This window comes from Homo sapiens, chromosome 19 (genome assembly GCF_000001405.40).
Source record: "Homo sapiens chromosome 19, GRCh38.p14 Primary Assembly".
NCBI classification, from domain to species: Eukaryota; Metazoa; Chordata; class Mammalia; order Primates; family Hominidae; genus Homo; species Homo sapiens.
Genome location: NC_000019.10, coordinates 56,367,304 through 56,381,439, shown reverse-complemented (window position 1 = coordinate 56,381,439; position 14,136 = coordinate 56,367,304). Strand labels below are relative to the sequence as shown.

The 14,136-nt window shown below is 41.1% G+C and overlaps 1 protein-coding gene and 1 pseudogene across 6 annotated transcripts in view, besides 3 other annotated features; one reads left to right on the top strand and one right to left on the bottom strand.

Moving 5' to 3' along the window:
- Positions 1,612-13,341, bottom strand: ZNF542P (zinc finger protein 542, pseudogene; annotated as a pseudogene). 5 transcript variants are annotated; one of them, NR_003127.2, is made up of 7 exons: positions 13,217-13,341; positions 12,504-12,574; positions 12,103-12,161; positions 8,157-8,283; positions 7,817-7,909; positions 6,683-6,754; positions 1,612-4,573 (listed from the first exon to the last, which is right to left on the bottom strand). The product of NR_003127.2 is annotated as a zinc finger protein 542, pseudogene, transcript variant 4 (transcript). The 5 variants fall into 5 exon arrangements; NR_033418.1 differs by lacking the exon at positions 12,103-12,161 and having other exon boundaries at positions 6,615-6,754; positions 12,980-13,319; NR_024056.2 differs by lacking the exon at positions 12,103-12,161 and having other exon boundaries at positions 12,980-13,319.
- Positions 3,244-4,443: an enhancer, noted in NCBI's record as "BRD4-independent group 4 enhancer chr19:56888366-56889565 (GRCh37/hg19 assembly coordinates)". NCBI's record gives its function as "activates an origin of replication core promoter dependent on BRD2, P300/CBP, MED14 and CDK7 cofactors, and independent of BRD4, by STARR-seq in HCT116 cells {active_cell/tissue: HCT116}" and the evidence as "EXISTENCE:reporter gene assay evidence [ECO:0000049][PMID:35650434]".
- Positions 12,911-13,040: an enhancer, noted in NCBI's record as "active region_15118". NCBI's record gives its function as "activates an Ori minimal core promoter by ATAC-STARR-seq in GM12878 lymphoblastoid cells {active_cell/tissue: GM12878}" and the evidence as "EXISTENCE:reporter gene assay evidence [ECO:0000049][PMID:35858748]".
- Positions 13,086-13,380: an enhancer, noted in NCBI's record as "tiled region #13801; HepG2 Activating DNase unmatched - State 1:Tss, and K562 Activating DNase unmatched - State 1:Tss". NCBI's record gives its function as "activates a minimal TATA promoter and a strong SV40 promoter by Sharpr-MPRA in HepG2 and K562 cells {active_cell/tissue: HepG2 | K562}" and the evidence as "EXISTENCE:reporter gene assay evidence [ECO:0000049][PMID:27701403]".
- ZSCAN5A (zinc finger and SCAN domain containing 5A) overlaps positions 13,162-14,136 on the top strand; it is a 146,976-nt gene continuing 146,001 nt past the window's right edge. Inside the window, exon 1 of the mRNA NM_001322072.3 lies at positions 13,162-13,231. The gene's annotated coding sequence lies outside the window, so the exon portion shown is untranslated. The remainder of the gene's footprint in view (positions 13,232-14,136) is intronic.

Sequence of the window (14,136 nt, the reverse complement as noted above, 5' to 3'; positions counted from 1 at the left end):
CTATCTCTACAAAGAAACAAAAAAGTTAGCCAGGTGTGGTGGCATGTGCCTGTAGTCCCAACTACTTGGGAGGCTGAGGTGAGAGGATTATTTGAGCCCAGGAGTTCAAGGTTGCAGTTGAGCTGTGATCATGCCATGTACTCCAGCCTGGGCAACGGAGCAACCCCTTGTCTCAATAAGTTTACTCTTATTGGAAGCAGATGACTTGCCATTGGCAAACTCATGTGCTATGAGCCAGAACCATAGATTTCTGAAGATCAATCTCCCCAGATTCTATTCTAAGCCTTCTACCCATATGGTAATTATGGCCCTCCTTGCGTTTGATGCTAAGAGCTATCACCTGGCTGCCATTATTCTGAGATCCTATCATTCCCATTGCAACTAGAGAGCCCAGTTCCTTAACAGCACCTCTTGCAGCCAGCCCTCGCCTAGGGGACAGCTACTATTGGCCATCTCCATGACGCTTGTTCTCCCTTGTATATCCACTTCTTTTGATCCCATCCTCATTTGTCATGGCAATTCTGCTATCTTCATTTTATTTAATGAGAACCAATGCTTTTTCCAAGCTTCAAAAACTGTCCCAGCATCCATTAGAAGCATCTTTTTCCCTTGCCAGTGTGTTAATCCTGTCATACAGTGACCCCATAGCAAAAAACTCTCCCCTATTCAACTTTGTATTCTACCTAATGATGCAGTAATCTCAGGATCTCCTCCCAGGTATACTCTTCTGGTTCTTGCTTGTACATGTTAGCCAGGTCCTACAGCTCCTTTGGTGTCTGAATCCATTTCTTACCACAGCAGTCCCAGAACTTCCCCAGTTTGGGACTGCTGAAATTTGACCCATTATTGACTTGGGGGAAAGATACTGTGGAAAGAAAGCATTGTTTTAAAGGGAGCATAGAGGGTATAGGGAAATCTGGGATTTGAGCAAGATGTGCAAATGCATATGCTAAGAAGTCTACATCCTGACTCAGAGTTGCCACTTCCTCCCCACTAAGTCTTTCCTCCTAAGACTGAAAGCAAAACAAGGGTGCCTACATTTATCACTTTCATTCAACACTGTCCTGGAGGTCACACAGCAATTGCAATAAGATGAGAAAAAAAAGAACAGCACAGACCAGAAATGAATACACTGTCTATTTGCACGTGACATGATTGCTTATGAAAAAAATCTTAAGGCCAGGCGCGGTGGCTCATGCCTGTAATCCCAGCACTTTGGGAGGCCGAGGTGGGCAGATCACGAGGTCAGGACATAGAGACCATCCTGGCTAACATAGTGAAACCCCGTCTCTACTAAAAATACAAAAAATTAGCTGGGCGTGGTGGCAGGCACCTGTAGTCCCAGCTACTCGGGAGGCTGAGGCAGGAGAATGGTGTGAACCCGGGAGGCGGAGCTTGCAGTGAGCCGAGATCGCGCCACTGCACTCCATCCTGGGTGACAGAGCAAGACTCCGTCTCAAAAAAAAAAAAAAGAAAAAAAAAAAATTTAAGAAATCTGTATGACAACTCCAAGAATAAGTGAAATGTTCAAGACAAGATGCAAGATAAATGTACAAAATGCTATTTTGATGTACAAGTAGCAAACAACTGGAAAAGTAAAAGACAAACGAATTTACATATTGTGAAAATGTCTATTAATAAACTTAAGAAAATACATTCAAGATCTCTATACAGAAAACTACAGGTATTTCTGAGAAAAATTAAAGGAGACAAATAGAACTTATGCTAAGGTTACAGACTGGAAGTCACTGCTGTTAAGTGTCAATTCTCTTCAAGTTTGTCTACAGACTTCATGCAATCTCAATTATAATACCGACAGGCTTTTTGGTAGGAACTGACAAGGTGACTCTGAACATTTATTAGAAAATGCAAATAAGCTAGAGTAGTGAGGCCAATTTTTATTTTATTTTATTTTTTAATCCAGAAAAGCATCACCAGGATTTTTTTTTTTTTTTTTAAGAGACAGGGTCTCATTCTGTCAACCTGGCTGGACTGCAATGGTGTGATCACAACTCACTGCAGCCTTGAACTCCTGGACTCAAGCAATCCTCCCACCTCAGCCTCCTGAGCAGTTAGGACTACAGATGGGTGCCACCATGCCCAGCTAATTTCTAAATTTTTTTGTAGAGATAAGGTCTTGCTATATTTCCCAGGCTGGTCTTGATCTTCTGCGCTTAAGTGATCCTCCTGTCTGGGGCTCCTAAAGTGCTGGGATTATAGGCATGAGCCACCATGCCCAGCCTAGAGAAATTTGTTAAAATAACAAAACTGGAAGACTTACTACCAAATTTCAAGACTTCCTCTAAAGCTATAATTAAGACAATGTGGAACTACTGAGAAGACAAATAGATTGATGAAACAGATCATTTCAGAAGTATACTCATGATAAATAATTGATTTTTGCAAAAGGTGCCAATAACAACGTAAGGGCGAAAATGAAAGACATCTCCCAAAACTGGTGTCACTATGGGTCAATAATATGGGGGAAAATATAATTCAACCTTTACCTCCTCCATTATCCATAATAAAAACATGAAATAGATCTAACAGTAAAAGGTAAAAATACACTATAGCTATAGAAAACATGGAAGAAATTCTATGTAAGCTCAGCATAGAATAAATAATACTTCTTAGAACATAAAAAGCAGAACTAGGTCAGGCACAATGGCTCATGTCTGTAGTCCCAGCACTTTGGGAGGCTGAGGCAGATGGACTGCTTGAGCTCAGGAGGTCAAGACAAGCCTGGACAACATGGTGAAACCTAGTCTCTACAAAAAATATAGAAATTAGGTGTGGTGGCACATGCCTGTAGTCCCAGCTACTTGAGAGGCTGAGGTGGGAGGATCACTTGAGCCTGGGAGGCAGAGACTGCAGTGAGCCATGATTGTGCCACTGCACTCCAGCCTGGGTGACAGAGTAAGACCCTGTCTGAAAAACAAATAAAAGCATAACTATTAAAAAATGTGATTAATTGGATGTGATCAAACTTAAAGCTTTTATCACTGTTATGTAAATGAAAAGGTAGGTTACAGAATAGAAAATATTTCCAAAATCTGGTGAACTCTCATAAATGCACCCGAAGAAAAACCTCTAATTTTTTTTTTTAATTATACTTTAAGTTTTAGGGTACCATGTGCACAACGTGCAGGTTTGTTACATATGTATACATGTGCCATGTTGGTGTGCTGCACCATTAACTCGTCATTTACATTAGGGGGAGGGGGGAGGGATAGCATTAGGAGATATACCTAGTGATAAACCTCTAATTTAAAAAATAATCTGCAAGGCTTCAACACACACTTCACAAAAAATACATATCAACAGTCAAGGGAAGGCATTTTTAAGTTAAATTAAAAGTGCAATGAAATATCATTCCATACAAACTAACAGAGCATATTTAAAAAGACTCAAAGTACAAAGTACTGGTGATGATACAGAATAATCAGAATTAACATTTTGAGTTTTGGTTATTTGCTAAATTTTCCATTACACATTCTACAGTGTCGAGTAAGGTGAGAGCTGCAGCTAAAGGACTTCCCGCATTGACTGCACTGAAAGGGTTTTTCACCAGTATGAATTCTATTATGTTGACAAAGTGTGGAGGAAGTATTAAAGGCCTTCCCACAGGCATGGCATGTATAGGGTTTCTCTCCACTGTGTGTTCTCTTATGAGTAACAAGGGAAGAGTGCGCACTGAAGGCTTTTCCACATTCCTTGCATTTATACGGTTTTTCTCCACTGTGTGTTCTCTTATGAGTAACAAGAGAAGAATGGGCGCTGAAGGACTTTCCACATTCCTTGCATTCATAGGGTTTTTCACCAGTATGAATTCTCCTGTGCAGAGTGAACTGCATCACACGACAAAAGGTCTTTTTGCAGTCCTTACATTGATATGGTTTTTCTCCAGTGTGAATTCTCCAATGTTCAATCAGGGAAGACAGGTGCACAAAAGATTTCTTACACTTACTACACTCATAGGGTTTTTCTCCAGAATGAGTTTTCTGATGTCTAATGAGCTGGGCACTTTGAGTGAAGGCTCTTCCACACTCCTTACATTCATACGGCTTTTCTCCACTATGAATTCGCTGGTGATCTATAAGAGCTGAGACACGGCTGAAGGCCTTTCCACATTCACTGCATTCATGGAACTTTTCTCTCGTATGTGTAGTCTGATGCTGTGTGAGATGAGTCATCTGGCTGAAGGTTTTCCTGCATTCCTTACATTTGTAAGGTTTCTCACCAGTGTGAATTCTCTCATGCTAGGTAAGGTGTGCCCTCTGGTTGAAGGTTTTAATACATTCGTTACATTTATAGGGTCTCTCTCCCGTGTGGATTCTTTGATGCTGAATGAGAGTTGATTGACGAGTGAAGTATTTCCCACAATCTAAACACTGATTGCATTTCTTTTGTGTATGATTTCTCTTATGGAGAGTAAGCTGCATATTGTGGCAGTATAGATTTCCACATTCCTTACATACGTTTCTTGTACATTTTATCACTGTGTCAAACTGCGATAATACTTCATTAATAGCCCTCTTTGCAGATAACTCCTTAATCTCTGCACCTGGCACATCTGAAAGGGGAAAAAAAATCAATGAACAGAAGCAAATTAAACTAATGTAATATACCTATCTTTTATCTTTTCAATCCCACTTTAGGCACCTACTCAAGAAACTAAGATACCAGTTTTTAAGGTTATATTGATAAGAATGCTTATTGAAATAGGCTTTATATTGGAAACAAACTAGGGGTCCCTCATCATTAACCATGGTATATCTCTATCTGTAGTATTACTTAGCTACTAAAAAAAGAGTGAACTTCAGCTGTTTTCTGAGCTGCAGGATAATGTATTAAGTGAAAAGGACAAGATGCAGTGTGCTAAGTTATACCACAAGTTTCAAAACACAAAAAGGTAAATGATAGTTTCTGTATGTATATGTATGCATTAACCAGAGGAATTAATGTGTCCAGACAGAAGGCATCTCCAATTATTTTACTGCAGAAACAATTTGACATAATATAGAAACAATAAAATCAATCATATAATCAGGGGCAGATAGGGTATGAATTCTCACTGATATAGACATTTTGAGATTAAAGAGATCGCTAAGCAAACAGGAAAAATAAGAGGGTCAAGTGAAGGCAGCAAGGAAACAGATTTAGAGCTTAAGAAAACATGTACTATGGGGAATTGCAGGGGCCAAAATGGCATTACAGGAAGACTGATCAACAGGATCAAAAATTAAAGAAAGGCAATAGGACTTGCTACAAAGACGAACATAATACCCTTCTAACCTGTAGTTGTTTTTACTGTTTAGGAGCTAAAGGGCAGAGGGGCAGAGATGCTGGCTGTGCTTGCTGTAAAAGAACAGAACAGAACCCCGGTCAATTATGGAAAATGACTGAGTCTGGCCTGTTTTTCATGCACTAAACATGTGGGAATCCCACTGTTTTTTCCAGATTATACTGTGTATGTAGACAGTGGAGAGGGCTAACCTCATTAAGGGTGCAAGAGGGGCTGGTTTTACAGGGGGCCTCTACTACGAAGGCCTAATGGTTTTGAAAATGAACTCAAATAAAAGATTATTACCAAATGTGACGATTCAAGCTCATTATTCTACATCCTTTTCACCATAGAAATATCCACTTTAGCAAGAACCATAAATTAGTCAGATATAAACTACCTTTCAACGTTGTCTTATCCTAACGTCTTGGTCTTACTTTGGTTACCTTTTCTTCATGAATAGTGAGGCCCTGGAATTCTAACACAGGATGTTTCCTGTTTCTCTTGCTACCAATCAATCAGTCCTTCTCTGCTATCTATAGGCAATTCATTTCTTCCATTCCTAAGGGTCCATCACCACAAAACATATAAAAAACACATTCATCTCCAATTCTGAATTACTATTGAGATCCAGCTACATATTTGTAACTCACAGTTCAAGACATACCTTAATTCCAACAATTCCTTAAATAAATATATCACAAATGTACTTCATTTCCTCACTTTCTATAACTTTAAATATCACCCAGTTTTGAAACTAAAACTTTACTAACTCCCACACATCAAAATAAACCATTTTAATTAGTTTCTACTAGTTAATTAGTTTCTACTTTGCACAAGGTTTGTGGAAGCAAGTCTTAATCCCCTCACTCAAATGTAAACTCACTGCAAGTTTCTATACTTTTAAACAAACTCAGAAAAGAACACAGCAGGCTTTGAGACTGTTCTCCTTAGAAAGGTGTGCTTACAACGTTGGCCCCTGACTGACCTCTAAGGAACTTGGATTTCATGAGGGTTTCTACCATTCCCGGAACTGGTACAAGTGGCTTACTGTGCCTAAGCTATTTGTGCAGATGATGTGGTTTATGCGGAACACCTACTTTCCTTCTGAGATTCTGGATTTTTAGCATATACTCGGCAGAGGGTACCTTTATGGCTTCCCTAAGTAAATTCCTTGGCACTAAGTCTAATGTTGTCTAGCTGCTATTATCTCACACATACCACACAAGTTGCTGCTAGAGGAATTAAGTACCTCCTGTGTGACTCCCCTGGGAGAGGAATCTCGGAAGCACATTCCTGATTTCCTCCAGACTTTGCCTTATGAGCTTACCTTTGCTGATTTTGTTTTATATCTTTTGCTAAAATAAATCTTAGCCATTGTGTAGTAAATAATTTAACCTTTTCCAAAGAGAGTTCTAGTCTTTGCCTTTGGCTCCTGGGAGATGGTCATCTCTGACACCTTGAAATATCCTGCAAGATAAAAGTGTCTCTATTTACCTATGGGCGTTGGACCACACCAGATAATCAAACTATGTGATTTATGTGGGGCTTTGGGTCACATGATATTAGGGTGACCTTCAGAGGAGCTAGAGATTGAGGTGAGACATTAGCAGTCAGCCATGTCTACATGATGGTGCCCTAATGAGGAGTCTGGATAACAAGGGTCAGATAGGCTTCCTTGGTTGGCCACACACTGTGCATACTGCCACACATCATTGTTGGGAGGAGTTAACACTGTCCATGACTCCACTGTGGGGGCATAAATGGAAGTCCTCCGAGACTCTGCCCCATGTCTTTTTCCTCGGCTGATTTTTAATGTGTATCCTTTCATGGCAATAAACTCTAACCATGAGTGTAACAGCTTTCAGTGAGTTCTGTGAATCCTTCTAGTGAATTATCAAACCTGAGGGTCATCTTGGGGACCTTTGGATTTGCAATTCGTGTCAGAATTCAGGGTGGTCTTGGGGACCCCCATACTTTGCAGCTGGCATCAGAATGATGGTGTTCTTCTGGACTATTCACTAACTTTGCAGGCATGAATACAATGATATGATGACTCCTGTGACGACTCCTAGTAAGTCCTTGAACCTGGGGGTGGTCTTGGGGACTCTCAACAGTTGACTAGTTTTAAAAATGGAATTAATGTTAATGAATAAATGACCAATGAATACACCCATTCAAACAATCAGACCACTATATAAGTCATCTTACAGTAAAGAAAACAATATCAAAGAGTCAAATAAAAAAAAAGTCATGAGAAACAGGATCCTGAATTTAAAAGGAAGCTTACCATAGACAAAGAGGAAAGACACACCTGTAATTTCTGAGCCCACAGGCATTTATAAAAGCAGATATAAATGGTGGGTGATCAGTACCCTTTTAGGAACTCAAACTCAAGGAGCCTCAATTTCTACATACGTATGGAACATTGGAAGAGAGCATCTTTCACATCTTAAAGGTGCTTTGCCCTCTAGACCTGGTATGCCTTTCATATACATGGCTTACCCCCGCTAGTTGGTTCTTCATACTCACCTGGCAATGGGCCTCTTATCTCTTCTTTTGCCATTATCCAAGGCAGTTTCCTTTTCTCCAACAGTGAAATCACAGATTTAGAAATGGAAAGTCCTGTGAATAGAAAGAGTTGGCTATGCTCTGGTTACTCAGGTATTGTGACAGATCAACACTGTAATCGAAACACAAGCCATTATAAAAACAAAAACATTAGAACATCTGGCAGATAGGATAAAGAAAGCTGCTCACTCCAATTTCCACATCTCATGTAAATTCTGAATCTCACCAAAGACTCCCAGTATAAAAACAAAAAAAGAAATACTCAAGACCAGTTGCTGAATTAAGGGCTTTAAGCACTTACCCAGCCAGACCAGGTTCTGATAATTCTCCAGCATCACAGTTGTGTACAAATCTCTCTGAGCAGGGTTCAGGAATCCCCACTCTTCCTTGGAGAAGTCAATGGCCACATCTTGGAATGTCACTCATCCCTGAAAATGATAAACACTTCCTTAGAAGAGCCCAAGGAAATAACTGGAAGTTGGGAGGAGCTGATAAGGACTCTTTGTCTTATAAAAGCAGCTTATTTAAGTTACTAAAGAGCAATACTGTGAAATAGTGTTTATTAAAATTTGGGTATAGAAAAATACTTAATAAGGGAAACATTCAAGATGAACAGGGTGATTCAAAAAACACTGAATAATTTAAGAAATGTATTGCTCAGAGATTGTGTATCCACGTATTCAAAACCAATTTGTAAAGGAACTAGCATAGTTGATTTTATAATCTTACATATTCATAGTATGACCACACATTGACTTTGTTGAAAGCCAGTCATGATCAATTCTACCATGGATCTGTAGTGTATCAGAATAACTTACAAATTACTTTTTTGCTGAAACAAAGTGTAGTCCTCTTTCTTTAAATCTGGATCGGACCTACAATTTGCTTTAATCAACAGAATATGACAGAACTAACACTAACTAGTTCCAGATGAAAGCTTCAGGAAGGCTTGGCATCTTCTGTTTTGCCCTCATAGGGGCTCATGACACATAAGAAAAGACAATGAGACGTTGCCAATGGAGAGTGAGACATTCTGAGACTACATCAAGTAAAGCTGAGTAACTCAGCTAGCAGCAAAGAACAGTGGCCCAGATACATGACTCCAGCAATTCTAGCTAAATATAAAATACATGAATGAAGAAGACATCTTGGGGATTCAGGCCCTGGCAGGCATCATAGGATCAGAGATTAATCATTCCCACCCTGTTGAGTTCAGTGTGAATTCCTCACCCATAGAATCATAGGAAATAAAGTAGTCTTTGCTCTAGCAGCTACATTTTAGGGTAGTAGATGTAATGGTCTGAAAACTGCAGCAGATGTGTTATTATTTCACCTTATTTGCCTCCATCAGGCTGTGCAACAGGAGCAAAGAATAAGGTTTCATCCTCAGCTACTTAGGAAGAAGGTGGGAAGAACTGAGGATGCCCAGCCTATGGTTAGTTTTCCTTTCCAATATCCTGGGACTTCATCAACTCATAATACAACTATGATTCCCAATCACTCCAATCATATACAGCTGCCCTGTGTTGTCCTTTCCAAATACACCCTTGCACCATCTGTAACAACAGTACATAGGTCAAAAGCTATTGAAACTTAATTGTATTAAACATGGGGCAGAGAAGGTTCCTCTTTTCTCACTTGAATGTGGGGTTTAAGAAATCTTAAGGATCTCTGGGTGCAGTGGCTCATGCCTATAATCCCAGTGTTCCTGGACCAAGCTGAGGGTCAGGCTGCTATTTATTGAGGCCCAATAACGAGATGCAGATTAACTGGGGAGGAAGGGAGTTTTTATTTCTGTAGCCGGTTACAGGGAGAAGGCCTGGAAATTACTGCCAGACCAACTCACAATTACAAAGTTTTCCAGAGCTTATATACCTTCTAAGCTATATGTCTATGTGTAGGTGTGCATTCATCTAAAGACAAGTGATTAACTTCTTTTAATCTATAACCAAGGTCTGAGTCTTGAAGACCTTCCTCAGGAGCCTCAGCAAATTTACTTAATCTAAATGGGTGTAGGGTGCTGGAGTGATTACCCTTATCTTGTCTCCTGCTAAACCACGGTGGTTTGGGGATTTCCTTCAGACCTCCAATAAATTTGTTTGTGGAGGCGTGGGGGGTTTCTTCAGACCCCCAGTAAAACTTGTTTCATCCTAAATGGGTCCAGTTAAGAACTCCTTCATTATTTTGTCATGCTTTAAGGCCCAGGAAAGGCCGAGGCAAAACTGTTGGTGGGCTTTTGTTACATTCCAGCCTCTTTGTAAGGGTAGTGGCTTTTAATATTTAACCACTCAGTCAGTACTGAAACAGCTGTTATGGACACCTGCATTTGGTGAGACATGGCCTGCCACACCAGCACTTTGGGAGGCCAAGGCAGGAGGACTGCTTCAGGCCAGGAGTTCAAGACAAGCCTGGGCAACACAGCAAGACTTAGTCTCTACAAAAAAATAAAAAAATTAGCCAGGCATGGTGGCACATGCCTATAGTCCCAGCTACTCAGGAGTCTGAGACAGGAGGACTGCTTGAATCTAGGAGGTTGAGGCTGCAGTAAGCCATGATCAATATGATGAATTCATGTCCAATAGGATCAATTTTCACAACGCAATACACCCATCAGCAGATCCCCGATCAAGAAACTGAATATTACCAACACCTCCAAGATTCCCCAAGATTGCTTCAAGACACACCTCTTGCTATCCTGAATTCTGTCACCATAAATGAGGCAGACTACAATATTTTAAATGAATATTTTTTCTTGATATTCTTCAAATGCCAGTATTTTCTTTCTTTTAAGAGACAGCAGTCTTGTTATGTTGCCCAGGCTGGAATGCAGTGGCTATTCACAGGTGTGATCGTGCTGCACTATGGTGCTGAAATGCTGGGCTGAAGTGATCCTCCTGCCTCAGCTTCCCAAGTTGCTGGGACTACAGGTGTGCGCCACTGTGCCCAGATGCCAGTATTTTTTCTACCACTACATCTTCTAAAAGATCACAAAAAGACATATACAGGTTGAATATCCCTAATCTGAAATGCTTCAAAATCCAAAACTTTTTAAGTGTTGATGTAATAGTCAAAAGAAATGCTCATGGAACATTTTGGATTTCAGATTTGGGTTGCGCAACCAGTAGGTATAATGCAAATATTCCAAAACAAAACAAAAAAAATCCAAAATCTGAAATACTTCTGGTCCCAGGAATTTTGGATAAGGGATACTCAGCCTACACAATAATATTCATAGCAGTTTTACTAATAATAGCCAAAAATCTAGAAACATCCCAAATGTCTATCAACAGGAAAATGAGTAAGTAGACTGTAATATATTAACACAATGGAATACTCAGCAAAACAACAACAAATAATGGACATTAATGAACATTAAAATCATTATGTTGAGTTAATGAAGCCAGACACACACCTACTGACTACTTGACTCCATTTACGTGAAGCCAAGCAAAACAAATCCACTGTCATCAAAACAAGAAATTAGTTTCCTCTGAGGGCCAGGGCAGGGAAAACTACATGAAAAATACTTGCAGAAGTGATGGAAATCTATCTTGATGGTGAAAATATCAACAGAGTTAAGGAAGCATTGGAAGTATGGAGGAAATGGGATAAGAACTGGTGGTTAAAAAAAGCCTTAAGCTCAAATACTTCACATCAAAATACAGAAACAATAAAGTGGTAAAAATGTTTTTTTCTGCATGGTTGTTATATGACGGTTGAAATTTTTTTAACAACTTTTCTTTTAAAATACATAAATATAATTTAACAACTTCATGAACAGCTTGAGTCATCATAACAAACAGAATGTGTAGGGAAAATACTGCCTGTTTCCCTAAAAGAAAATGTAAGTTTCCCCTTTGAGAAGAAAATCTATTTTTCAAACAAAATGTCTTGGTGACTACATTTAGCGGGCTAAGAATCAAATCTGGTTGTATTTGCACAAAATTTCAGAGACCATGCAAACACCCTGAAGAGAACCCTTTTTTGGGAAATATAGCCAGCTCATCCATCTTCTCCCTTGCAGCATACTTCTTGTTCCTCATTTACAGAAAGCCAATAGGTATTTTCCGGAATTCCACAGATGAAGCCTGTGACTTTAAGCTGCCCAACGTCAAACTGGAACCTGTGATCCACAACACTCTCTTTCACTAATGTCCTAGTAAATGGCCTGACTTTGTTAACCTGGACTTTCATGCTTAAGATATCAATCACATTCCCATTCCCCAAAATTTCCAAAGGCAGATTACCATTACTGAGTCTGAACCACTCATAAGCATTTTCTATGCTGCGTCCTCTCAGTCTGGAGCTGTAAAGGAATTCAAAGATGACTGAGTATTCACCCCTACTTCAGGAAGACGACAGTCCCCGGATAAAGGCTCTTGTCTTCTCCAGGGAATGTATCTCTGACCCACCACACAGTGCTTAAAAGAAGACTGGTGACAGTGGAGACTCAGATTAATTCATTCAGTGAATAAATGAACACTAAAGTACAGGACATGGACTCTGAGAAGAGAGGTTGCTATAGTCCCACGTGTTGCTGAATGAAAAGACCTGAGCCTTGTACCGGTGTCAGTCTTTACCACCCAAGTAAGCAAAATTAGATGTGCCCAGGACTTAAAACCTATGATGTTGCAGGACAAAAACTTACCTGAGACATGGCTAACGCGCACTGCGCTGGAACCGTGTCCTGAATAGTGACCAGGTCCTGGAAATGCAGAGCTAAGGAGAAGGAAGAAAACTTCAAAGACGAGATTCTCGAACCCACTGCCACCCATTTTCAACCATGTTCCTAACAAACTCCAAAAACGACAGATTTCACTGTCAAAAGAAAACAGTTTAGCGTGCAGCTCTGGTTCCTAAAAATGTAACTGGGCTTTTTTCAATGCCCCAGTGGCCTACTCTGGGATAGAACCATTCACACAAAGAGTAATTTTAATAATGTCCTCTGTGTACACAAACGCCAACACACTGATCACGCGAGCATTCTTGTAAGGCACCCGCCACCTCCAAACTCAGGCCCGGACGCCAGCGCTGACCTGAACGGATCCCTGGGCCTCTGGCCATTCAGCCGCCCACTCCTCCCCGGAGCGCCTCTGAGACGGACCGCCCCGACGCAACACAAACCTCATAATGGCCCAGCCTCCGCGTGGCGCTGGGAAAAATACTGCCCAAGAAAGGAGAAACGGCGACGCTGCCCACCCAGGTCTCCCTGGAGCCCGCCGACCTGAAGCAGCGGCCGCACCGCGTATGCGCCCGGGTGGTTTCTGGGAGTAGGCGAGGACTCGCAGTGCGCATGTGCAGCCCCCACGGCCCCGCTCCCAGTGACCGGAATGCAGAGGCGTACATGGCTAAGAGACGAGCTACCTGGGACACAAAGTACGCGTGCGTATTGACGCCCCGTAGGGCCTCGACGCGGAGCCTGGTGGAGAGGGTTCCGCTGGTGACTGAGTACGTAGGCGTGAGTTCGGCCGTGGGGGCGTGGCTTTGTGCCCGTTGGCGGTGTTGAGAACGCTGCGCCTGCGCAGAGAATCAAGCGGTTGCCTTCTGAGGGCTGAAGCGTATATCAGTACCAGGTTCAGACTTCGTGGGAGGCTTTAAGAGGGGGGGAAGGGCCTATGATAATACATTGGCGTGGACATGTGCGTCTTAAGTTTGGGAAAGTGTTATGAGAGGTGGTTGGGACCACCGAGCGTCTGCTTTGGTGTATCTGATGGCCCCATTCTCCGTGAGGTTAGGCCCATTCTCCGTGAGGTTATGTGATTTGATATGTGACCCTATATGCATCTCTGTGGGTGTTTGGTTGACACTTGAGCTGTAGAGTGTGTCTGCTGTGTGACTTTTTCTTAATTGTTTAATCTTTATGAGCTTCAGTTGCTCATGTGTGCACGGAACAATATTTCTTAGCTAATAGTGTTGCGAGGATTAAGTGCTCATAAATGTGCCTGGCACAAAATAAGCAATGAATGGAGAAACTGTGCTTCAGTGCATTATTTAGATCATGGGCTTTTAGGTCATTTGATTCTACTTTGTCATTGTTTTGAGCTATTTACCAACTCACATTGTGGATCACTGATGGCAGTTCAAATTACTTCTTGTTTACAGAAAAGTAAATTGGAGGAGGCTCAGCTTACTTCCCTCCTCCATCTCCATTTGTGAGGAGGCCAGTTTTTGCCTCTTTTGCTGCTGCATATCATTTTAATTTTAATTTTTTTTGTTTTGTTAAGAAACAGCATCTCACTCTATTGCCAACACTGAAGTGCAGTGGCACCATCATAGCTCAC